Genomic DNA, 12,452 nt, shown 5'->3' with positions numbered 1-12,452 from the left:
AGAGGTAAGTTTATAGCTATAAGTGCCTACATAAATAAAGTAGAAAAATACCAAATAAACAACCTAATGATCCAACATAAGGAACTACAAAAGCAAGAGTAAAACACACCCAAAATTAGTAGAAGATAATAAATAATAATGAGCAAAGAAGAAATATGTAAATTTGAAATAAAGAAAATACAAAACAAGTAATGAAACAAAAAGTTGTTTATTTTGAAAAGATAAACACAATTGACCAACCTTTAGCCAGTCTAAAAAAAAGAGAGAACACCCAAATGAATAAAATTGAGAAAGAGAAAGGAGACATTACAACTGAGATCACAGAAAATCAAAGTACATTTATGGCTACTATGAACAAGTATATGTCAATAAATAAGAAAATTTAGAAGAAAAGAATAAATTTCTAGACACGTACAACCAACCAAGATTGAACCAGAAAGAAATTTGAAACATGAGCCAGTAAAGAAAAGCCCAGGACCTGATGACTTCACTGCTGAAATCTACCAAACATTTAAAGAAGAAATAACACTAATCGTACTCAGATGGTTCAAAAAAATTGATTACTTCCAAACTGATTCTATGAGGCCAATATTTCCCTGATACCAAAATCAGACAGATATATAAAACAAAGAAAACTACAGGCTAGTATCTCTGATAAATATTGATGCAAAAATCCCCAACAAAATATTATCAAACCAATTTCAACAATACAGTAAAAAGACCATTCATCATGACCAAGTGTGATACCACTGGGATGCAAGGATGGTTGAACATACAAAAATCAATCAATGCAATGCATCATATCAACAAAAGGAACATTAAAAACCATATTATCATTTCAACTGATGCTAAAAAAATCTTTTGTAGTTCAATACCTCTTCATAAAACTTTCAAAAAACTGGTTATAGAAGGAACATACCTAAACATAATAAAAGCCACATATGACAGACAAACAACTAGTATCATACTGAATGGGGAAAAAATGAAAGCCCTTCCACTTACATCTGGAACACGACAAGGATGCCTATTTTCACAACTGTTATTCAACATAGTACTGGAAGTCCTAACTAGAGTGATCAGACAAAAGAAAGATATAAAGGGCATCCATCTTGGAAAGGAATAAGTCAAATTATGCTTGTTTGCAGATTATATAATCTTACATTTGGAGTAACATAAAGACTTCACCAAAAACTATTAGAACTGATACACAAATTCAGTAAAGTTGCAGAATACAAAATCAACATGCACTCCCTAATCTTAAGTACCCAGGGACACAAACACTGCGGAAGGCCGCAGGGTCCTCTGCCTAGGAAAACCAGAGACCTTTGTTCACTTGTTTATCTGCTGACCTTCCCTCCACTATTGTCCTATGACCCTGCCAAATCCCCCTCTGCGAGAAACACCCAAGAATGATCAATAAAAAAAAAAAAAATTAAAAAAATTAAAAAAAAATAAAAAAAATAAAAAAAAGAAATGTTCACAATAAAATTGTTATCATAGTCCATAAAAAAAAAAAAAAGAAAAATCAATATTGTTAAAATGTCCATACTACCCAGAAATTGGGAATGGTTAATGGGTACAAAAAAAGTGGTTACAATGAATAAATAACACCTACTATTTGATAGCACAACAGAGTGAATATTATCAATAATAATTTAGTTGTACATTTAAAAATAGCTAGAACAGAATGATTGGTGATATGGTTTGGCTGTGTCCCCACCCAAATCTCATCTTGAATTGAACCTCTCATAATTCCCAAATGTCATGGGAGGGACCTGGTGCAAGATAACTGAATGATGGGGGTGGTTCCCCCATACTGTTATCATGGTAATGAATAAGTCTCATGTGATATGATGGTTTATTAAGAGGTTTCCCCTTTCACTTGGCTCTCATTCTCTCTTGCCTGCTGCCATGTAAGTAAGATGTGCCTTTTGCCTTCTGCCATGATTGTGAGGCCTCTGTAGCCACATGGAACTGTAAGGCAATTAAATCTCCTTGTCTTTATAAATTATAAAGTCTTGGATATGTCTTTATCAGTAGGGTGAAAATGGACTAATACCGTAAATTGGTACCAGGAGTAGGGCACTCCTGTAAAGATACCTGAAAATATGGAAGCAACTTTGGAACTGGGTAACAGGCAGAGGTAACAGTTTGAAGGTCTCAGAAAAAGACAGGAAGTTGTGGGAAGATTTGGAATTTCCCGGAGACTTCTTGAATGGTTTTGATCAAAATGCTGATAGGGATATGGACAATTAAGTTTGGGTTGAGGTGGTCTCAGATGGAGATGAGGAACTTGCTGGGAACTGGAGTAAGGGCAACTCTTGCTTTGTTTTAGCAAAGAGACTGGTGGCATTTTGCCCCTGCCCTAGAGATTTGTGAAACTGTAAACTTGAGGGAGATAATTTAGGGTATCTGGTGGAAGAAATTTCTAAGTAGCAAAGCATTCAAGAGGTGATTTGGATGCTGTTAAAAGCATTCAGTTCTGAAAAATAAACAGGACATAAAAGTTCAGAAAATTTCAACCTGATAAAGTGATAGAAAAGAAAAACCCATTTTCTGAGGAGAAACTCAAGCTAGCTGCAGAAATTTGCATAGGTAATGAGAAGACAACTGTTAGTTACCAAGACAATGGGGAAAATCTCTCCAGGACATGTCTGAAACTTTTGTGGTAGCCCCTCCCATCACACTCCTGGATGCCTAAAAGGGAAAATTGGATTCATGGACTGGGCCCAGGGACCCCTGCTTTGTGCAGTCTCTGGTCTTGGTGTCCCATGTCTCATCTGTGGCTAAAAGGGGCCAAGATACAGCCCAAGCCATGGCTTCTGAGGGTACAAACCCTCCTTGGCAGCTTTCACATGGTGTTGAGCCTGTGGGTGCACAGAAGTCAAGAATTGAGGTTTGGGAACCTCCACCTAGATTTCAGAGAATGTCCAGGCAGAATTTTGCTGCAGGAGTGGGGCTCTCATGGCAAACCGCTGCTAGGGCAATTCAGAAGGGAAATGTGGAGTCGGAGCCCACACACAGAGTCCTTACTGGGGCACTGCCTTGTGTAGCTGTTAGAAGAGGGCCACCATCCTCCAGACCCCAGAATTGTAGATGCATTGACAGCTTGCTTTGTGCACCTGGAAAAGCTGCAGACACTCAATGCCAGTCTGTGAAAGCAGCTGGGAGGGAGGCTATATCCTGCAAAGCCATAGGGATAGAGCTCTTCAAGACCACGGGAACCCACCTCATGCATCAGTGTGACTTGGATGTGAGACAGGAGTCAAAGGAGAAAATTTTGGAGCTTTAAGATTTGACTGTCCCACTGGATTTCAGACTTGCGTGGTGCTTGTAGCCCCCTGCATTTTGGCTAATTGCATCCATTTGGAATGGCTGTATTTACCCAATTGCTATACCCCCATTGTATCTAGGAAGTAACTAACTTGCTTTTGATTTTACAGACTCATAGACAAAATGAGACATTGGACTGTGGACTTACAAGTTAATGCTGAAATGAGTTAAGACTTTGGGGGACTGTTGGGAAGGCATGATTGGTTTTAAAATGTGAGGACATGAGATTTGGGAGGTGCAAGGGGAGGAATGATATGGTTTGGCTGTGTTTCCACCCAAATCTCATCTTGAATTGTAGCCTCCCACAATTCCCTCATATTGTGGGAGGGACCTGGTGGAATATAATTGAATCATAGGGTGGTTTTCTCCATACTGTTCTCATGGTAGTGAATAAGTTTCATAAGATCTGATGGTTTTATAAGGGGCTTCCCTTTTCATTTGGCTCTCATTATCTCTTCCCTGCCTCCATGTAAGACATGACTTTTTTCTTCTGCCATGATTGTGGGGCCTCCCCAGCACGTGGAACTGTGAGTCCATTAAACCTCCTTGTCTTTATAAATTACCCAATCTCAGTTATGGTTTGATCAGCACCGTGAGAATGAACTAATACAATTGGATTGTTTGAAACACAAAGAATAAATGCTTGAGGGGATGAATACCCAATTTTCCATTAAGTGATTATAATGCATTGCATACCTCTATCAAAATATCCTATGTACCCCATAAATATATAGACTACGTACCAACAAAACCCCAAAATTTAATAATTAAAAAAAAAATTGCAAACAATTTAAAACTGAGTGATAGACATACTTGTTCTCAAAGTCTTTTTTCCCTCCATGCCACCACCAATTTTTCACAGACTACTGTTCTTTTTAGATTCCATGCTCCTATCAGGGATCTGGTCCTTCTCACAATATTTCTCTAAGTTTACTTCTTTTCTTCTTTCTTTCCACTGGCTATCCTCTGCCAAATGCATCAAATACTTATTTCGCTATGGAAAACATTTTTCCTTTTAATGACTCTTTTCAAAGTCTTCCCACATTAGGGCCTGAAGTTTAATTATCCAGCGTCTGGATGATGTATTAAGACAATTTATACAATATAACAAATTTCTTACTCAGAAATGCTGACATCTGCCTGTAATTATTTTGTTTTTGCTTACGTTTTAGAATGATAAAATTACATAGCCAGTTAATGGCAAAGCTTAGATTTGAATCCAGGCACTTTCCCACACTTAGTGGCTGCACTATAGAAATACTATTTTTGGTCCTCATCCTTGTGAGCCTTTTGATATCCTGAGAGCTAATCTTGTTGCTTTATGTCATACAAAATCTGTCTAAATGTTTCCCTCAGCTTGATCAAACTTCAGACAGATTTCTTCATGACTCTAGGCTCCTGACCTCCCTTTTTAAAGAATATTTACATTACAGAACTTTCCATTGTATATATATATTTTTCTGTCTCTTTGACATGTGACTCTTATTTAAGCCCCCTGCCAATTTCATGACCCAAGATCTTCTTTCTCAAGGAAGTGGGAGTTGCCACTTTAAAATGTAATCACCAAAAAGAAAGAGCCTCTATCTCCCAGTTTCTGTGGCAGCATAGAACCCTAAAATAGATAAGTAACAATTAGCAAACATAGATAGCCTAGTCACCTTGGCCAATCGCCCCCATCACATCCTCCAGTAATTTTCCACTTGCTCACCCTAATGCTTAAAAATCCTCTAATTGTTTCTGTGGAGTTGAGTTCAATCTCTTTCCCCTCCTGCAACAGTCTTCAATGTAGTCTTCCTTCCCTACTGAACTCTGGAGCATTTTTTATTTTTGATGTCTCACGCTCAAATATCCCCACACTACTGAAAAATGGGAGGTGCATATCTGGTATTAAAAACGCTTTCAAATGCTCTGTTCCTAGAAAATTGTACTGCAGTTGTAAAAATGTCCTAGCCATTAACGAGTCAAAGCTGTTCTCCCATTCTTAATGTTGAAAGGCTGCATTGTGAGAACTTTTTAAAAATGGCAGAATGTGTCTTTCTAACACATCACAAGATGTCATTAGTAAGACATGGGTGAGGACAAACAGTCCTGCCTTTTTAAAAGGAGGATTCAGATACATGATTCTTAGATTATTTCACAAACTGCTGACACAGTTACCACATTATTTTTATTGAGTTCTCAATAATATTTAGACTTTTTTTCCTAAAATGAAGTATTTTATCTAATGTGATAAATTAACTTTTATAAGGTATTCTATACTTTAGATTCTTTTAGATAAGGGCAATGAATGGTTCTACATTTCGAATTATTTCAGATAAGGTTGCTGAATGCTTTCTTTATAACACAAGGCATTTTAAAACAATCTCTATTATTCAGACAGTTTTGAGATGGGTGCTGACAGCAATAACAGAAACAAAACGAAATACTTTCCTATTCTTTTGAATTAGAAACTATTTCTGGAGTCCTGTTTTCTGTGTGAAATAAAGCTATCAATCCATCAGTCTATCCATATGTATTTTTCTTTTCAGCACCAGTGTCAGGCAATAGAAATCCAAGCTTTCTGTTAATGTTTTCTTTAGTAAAATCTTTGTCTACCTGCAGTGCTAATCTTTAGCTTTAAATTCAAGATAAGATTTACTTTATTTTGTATTTGTTTCCTACCATCCCTCTTCTCTCCTATTTTTATTTTAACAATGTGATGGAAAAATGTAACTAATCCCGTTATGACGGCATGCTTTAATATCTACTTAGTTTCTATCAGACTCTTTTAAATTATGTTTCACAGCAGTCTTATTTAATTTCTGGAAACTATTATAGCTCCCCCTAGCCCCCCCAGCCCCGCTTATTGAAAACCTAAAGATCAGAATGTTGTACACAATCTAGATTTTCCAGTGTGTGTGTCTATGTGTGTGCATGGCTAGTTTTATGTGTAACTGGTTATCCATAGAGCAATATACACATACAAGGATAAATATTCATATTTTCATACAATGTTTTATGCATAGATTGGCTTGTATGGATCGTTATTTAATAACCCTTGGAAAGATTTTTTCAACTAAGCAACTGAATTATTTGATGAAACATAGCTGATTAATTTTCAGTGTTTTGAAGCGTTAGAAGTTTAAAATACACTTTTGAAGTCATTTCACTTTGATTAATAAAATGTGATGGGCTAATATTGTATCCTTTTCATATCTTACTCTGTGTTGGGCACTTTATCAGGAACTAAAATTTCAAAGACAAATAAAACATGTTTCCACACCAGAGGTCCTAATAGCAGTGGTTCTCCACCCTGTCTGTACATTAGAATCAGCCGGGGAGCTTGGAAACTACTTTGAGCTCTACCACAGAAGATAGTGACTAGCTTAATTTTAAAACTTCTCCAATTAATTTTGAAGTGCATTCATTAAGACTCATGATCTTATAGCACATAAGAGGAGGCTAAACTACACATGGGCAGACATTTAACTTATTTGGTAGGAACCTTAGATAGAATTACACAGGGATTGCAGAGATGGTGGAGGGTCAGTGAAAGCCACAGGAGTTTTTTTTTGTGAGATTGGGGTGGGACAAGTGGTAACATGATTCTTGAGTTTTGAAAGAAAAGATTTTCAAGTAGTGGAGAAAAAGTGGATAGAAATGTGGAGCACAGAGGAATAAAATTCAGATAGAGGAAACTACAAACAAAAGGAGTCATATAGCAACCTGCTGTGAAAAAACTACGTGTGGTTTAGTGCTTTAGAATTCTCAGATGTACATTTGGGTGTGATCAACTTGGGACTGGAGTGAGGGAGATAATGGAGAGTCCTTAAGATGTATAATACTTTAAATGCATATTCAAATTCACATTGACAAGGAGAGAAGTAGGATAAAATAATTAAGTCTGAAAGCCACTCACTTTTGAAAATTGGATATAGAGATCAGTTACATAATCTTAAGCTATCCTGGTAGTGGTCACCAAGGAAATAAAATGTGCTATGTCTTGATTAATGTTACATATGGAAATATAGCTTTTGGACTACCCAAGATATGTACAAATAAAAACAAACATCTTCCTTGCTAATTTGATTGTCTTATTCCAGAAGACTAAAAAAGTGTTAACTCTCCTAGCAAATAGAACCCATTTATTGAGGGCATGTAATGTTCCAGATACTTCCTCTCAATTAATTTTGGTCTATATGGCTGAGTCGTATGTTTTGGCCAAAGTATTGTAACAGAACCCAGATTTAGCTGCTTGTTGTTCAAAAGTGAACTCAAGAAACAAAAGTTGGTGGGCGGAAAAGCAGGTTTATTCAAGAAGCTGGCAACCCGAGAAGTTGTCCGACTAGTGTGACGAAAGCTATCTTGGTTCCTCGGGTTGGCTGAAGGGATTTTAAAAAGGAAGCACCTTGGGAAACTATGTGCAGGTCAACATGTCTTGTTCTGATGATTATCTTGAGTAGTGGGCCATCTGGTGGTCTGGTTGGTCTCAGCTAGACTATAAGAGGATTGTAGATTAATGCTCAACTTTGTATTTTGAGAAGGCATTTTGAAATTTTGGTTTTATCTCAGGGCTCCTTCCTGAAGTTTTTAAGCAAGCACAAAGATTAGGCATTGGAAGAGAAAGAATGGTTATTCTAAAATGGAGTGACTGCTTCGGTTACAAATTCCTCACTGCCAATTTTTAAATCCATTTCTATGGAAATGGAGCAAGTCTATTCTGGCTACTTCCTGCTGAATGGGGGCTCCACTGGGGACATAGATATGAAAACATTTGGCCAGGCAGTGAGTTGATGTTCAGGATCTTGTTTGTTTTCAGGTTTTTAGGAATTGATCTCCCAGTTGAAAAAGATGTTGGGCCACATCTGTGGGTTGAGTGGTCCTGCTAGAAGCAACTTACGAAGAGAAATTAATTTAGTCCTTAGAGCCTTAATATATTTTACTATTGCTAGATTTCTTAAAGTATTAGTAGATTCTCCTCCCAGTGTGGAAACTTGGAATAACCAGCCATATAACTTTAAAGAGAGTCAATTTGTGCCTATTTTGGGGAGCCATTTTGATTTACAACAGGGCAACTGTCAGTACCTTGTGTTGAGTCAAATTAGTTTTTTTGACATATATAGGGATTTTTTTTAAGAGTACAGTTTATCGTTTTAGCTTTTTCCACCATTATGGTCTCCAAAATACAATTTAAAGTTTGCAGGAAGGGGTGAGTTACAGCTTTTCCTGACATTACTGCAACTACCATCGTCTTTTTAAAATTGGGATAGACTGGTATTAACTACAAAATATATGGCCTCCATGTCAATAAGAAAGTCAATAAGTTTGTTCCCCACTATCAGTTATACTTGGGTCTCCTGTGAGAATATAATGATATGTTGATTAAACATACGTATTTAACAGGTTATAGGAAGAGCTATGAATATTTATTAAGGTGGTCCTGACACACGTATATTAGACAAATATGCATGTAACACACCACTCATGTTCACCTTGGGGTAGAGACTTAACATTTAATTGTATTACAATTAGGCCCTATATGTTAAAGGTTCTTTTCAGGACACAAAAGCACACAAGTACATAATTTCTGTAAACTGGCCAGAACTAATCCATGGTCAGTGGTATCAGGAAAAAGTTACTGGAACCAGTCTCTTGTTCAATCAAAGTTGTAGTTATGGCTGGTGACACAGGAGCTGGGGTTCAGTCAACATCTGGGGGAACTTCAAATTATTTTAATACTGCTTATCGCAAGGCCAGTGCTTGTTTAGCTGCTAGAGAAAAATAAAAACCTTGTGACAGTTAGAACATAGCATATTCTTTAAGTGTAGGGGTGTGTGCCGTGAGACCCTTGCCTGGTATAGCCTTAGGTTCTGTTTTTAATTCAGTATCTTATTGTCACAGAGAGTCTGCTATCAGTTCATGATTTCTATGTAAACATTAGTGCTGGTCACTTGTGTCTAAACCATAAAAGGGAAGGAGTTTAATGAGGAGTGTCTGATTCTCCCATTTCATGTTGGAAACCGTTTTTAAGGTTTCCTTTCCTGGGGTTTCTTTGACCAAGGAAGTTTCCATTCAGTTGGTGATGGTCTTATAATTTTATTCTTTATTTTATATTCCCTCTTTTTTGGTAAAGATATGCCAGAGGCAGTATTGGTGGTCAAGTTTTATTTTATTCCAAATGGATGCTGGGGTGGTGTGGCTACCTGCCCTGAGTTCATCATGTTGTTTTGTAGGACCCCTATGGCCAAGGGACTTAGAGTCAAAAGACTTAGACCAAGTAACCATTCTGAGCCAGATAGGAATAGAAGTGGGCAGGCATTAATTAACACTTTGACCCCTTTTAAGTAACACAAGAGCCAGAAAACAAAAGCCAAAAAGCAGGATTACAAAGTTGACTTGTCTATAAGTCTTATGTATTGAGCCATTAGCTGTTTAGGCACCTGTGTATCTGTCTTTGATTTGAAGGGTCTAAAGTAATTTTATCCCTCAGAACCGATCCTTACAATATCACACGCCAACCCCTTCCATGATAGTCCCTGAGCTTAAACAAAGGGTGCTTAATCTTGTTTAGCTTTAGCAGCAGTGCATTGGCAATGCAAAACAGACTGGCCCACTAGGATTGAACAGTTTTGAAATTCTGAACTTATTAGGTAGAGAGAGAAAGGTAATCTTTGTTGTTATGTTCAATTTTTGTAAGCTATAAATAGTTAAAAGAAAAAAGATTTTCCTGTCTCTGGAAAAAATATAAAGAATGAGCAATATTTATTTTATTTTGAGGAGGTTTGTCAAAGATGTTAAAAGCTCCAAAATAAGTGATCAAAATGGAATCAGAGGCCAATGAAATATAGTTATTCATGTAACCAATAGTAATAAAAAACTTTTAAAAATCAATACAGAAAGTTACACGAATATAAAACCTTAACTCTTTTAAAGTTCAGTTTTCCTAAGAAATCAAAAACCTGAGAAGACAACACAGGAATTATCTTGATAAAATGTAAAATCTTTGTTTCTTAGGCCAGTTATTAAAAAAAAAGAAAAAAAAAAAAAACACTTGCAGTGTGATTGCTTCTCCTATGGAAAGCTCATTTAGATAACTTGGAAACCAAAGCTGATGAAAAAAAGTACTTGTGTTTCATCAAACCTAGGAAGACTGTGTTCAAGGTTATGAGTATAGCAGGGGAATATATAATTCTTAGTAACTGTATGAGAATTGTCCTAAATAAATTGAAAAAATTAGTCATGTAAAGAAAAGCCAAAAGTATAGAATCAAGTTATTCAGGGGGAAAAAACATTGTTTTTCTAGATCTTCAAGGTAAAACTTTTCATCATCAGGCCACAACAATAGTTAGATCCAGAGGAAGCTTACAAAAAGTTGGAGAGAATTATCAAGGAAAGAAAAAACTGAAAGAAGGAAGACAGAGTAAAAGTTGAACTTTTTAGATATAAATCTGAAAGTGTTCAAAAAGAAACAGGTAATATAATTAAAAATAAAACCTTTTTGAAGTTTCATTAAGAATATTCATTAATCAATACCTTAAGAAAATCTTGTTTTAACATAGGGAATCAATCTTAGAGAGAACGCTATAAATGTTTCTCTTTTAATTATAGCCAATTTAATGACACAAAATGCTTTTTATAAATGCTCTTTCACAAACCTTATAACAATGTACACAGACTACTTACAACATGCTTGAAATTTCTGAGTTATCCTATACTACTTCTTTCCTAAATAACCAGTCATTTTACTTTAGGACAAAAATTTATCATATAAGATCTTTTCTCATAAAAAATTTATTCTAATAATCTTTCTTACCAAAAATTCACCTTCATATTCATAACTTTCTTGACACCTCTGTCTTCTACTTAATGGTCCATTTCTAACTTCTTTCATACATAACTTTTAAATAACCTCTAAATTATGTAACATTATTGATTTTCTCAATAAGAACACAACTGATAGAATTATATGTTAACTAGAATTCTTACTCTTAATGACCTGAAATTTTAGTGAAATCCTAGGAAGAAAGAAATGTTGAACTATCTTGGATGTTAGCATTTTATAGATAAAACTACTGCACAATTTTTAGAAGCATATTTCCCCATATCATAAAACTTTCTTCACTGGAAATGACCAGACATCCAATGAGCATCCATAATGAAATTCAGAATAATTTTAAAATAAATTACGCAAAAACTTCACCTACAACCATTCCTCCCATTTACATGTACTCAATTCTTTCATTTTTAACAGTTTATCTAGGTGACTTCTGAAAACTGAGATACTGCAATTAGACACAGTTCATCATCATTTAAGTTTATTTCCCTGTTAACCATTTTTAAAGCCTGTGAACATCAGGCGTTCACCTAAGTAAGAACCTTAAACTCATGGGTATTTTGCCAATAACTTCGAAAATTCTTCTTATTTCATTGAACCAACAATCTTAAATTAGTTTTATTTGCCAAAAAAACCCCACCCAAACAAAGGTTATTCTGTTTTTTGGTTGAGTTCATAGTATTATAATCTTTATGCCATACTCTAGCACCTTAAAATCTCTACCAGAGGCAAATATAAAATAACCAGTAAACCCATACAAAAATCTATGTTGACAATTCTGAAGACATTTTTATTTTGCTAGTAATTTTAAAACCATTTTTATTTACTAAAGATTACTCATTTCATATGAACTTGAAAAGCATTTGCACTTACTTAATGTTGGGGTGGCCAGACCCAAAACCAGGTTGTGGGGGTGACAAAGTCCGGCGGAGTCAAAGGATTGAGGAAAGGACAGTTTGAGAGAGAAAGATGGGACACCAGAGGACCATCGTGATCGTGGAGACTGCGAAGGCCCTGAGCGCTGGGAGCCCACGCTATTTATTGGTAATCCAACAGGGAAACAGGTGGTGAAAATGTGGAGGTCAAAAGGGCAGGCACATGATCTACAGCTGTGATGGTTTAGCATTTATAAGAAACATGTTCTGCTACTTGAGATAATGGGAATAGGAGCCTAGGAGGGCTAGAAGCAAGGAGCCAGCAAGTCTAGACACATTCCAGAGGACATTATGTCAGTCATGCATGTCCTGCCTCAGCTTTCTTCCCAACCCTCAGCTTTTTTTCCAACACTTAATTTATGAGTATTCAT

At 36.1% G+C, this 12,452-nt stretch overlaps 1 long non-coding RNA gene across 1 annotated transcript in view; it reads right to left on the bottom strand.

The window, feature by feature from the left end:
* The window catches only part of LOC124901968 (uncharacterized), a 58,399-nt gene extending 46,240 nt beyond the window's left edge, over positions 1-12,159 (bottom strand). The window contains exon 1 of the long non-coding RNA XR_007060983.1: positions 12,020-12,159. This is a non-coding gene — a long non-coding RNA (uncharacterized LOC124901968). The remainder of the gene's footprint in view (positions 1-12,019) is intronic.
* Between the last annotated feature and the right edge of the window lie 293 nt (positions 12,160-12,452).

The sequence above is a fragment of the Homo sapiens genome, chromosome 8 (genome assembly GCF_000001405.40).
Source record: "Homo sapiens chromosome 8, GRCh38.p14 Primary Assembly".
NCBI classification, from domain to species: Eukaryota; Metazoa; Chordata; class Mammalia; order Primates; family Hominidae; genus Homo; species Homo sapiens.
The sequence above is the reverse complement of the archived record's forward strand: the minus strand, read 5'-3'. Positions and strand labels throughout refer to the sequence as shown.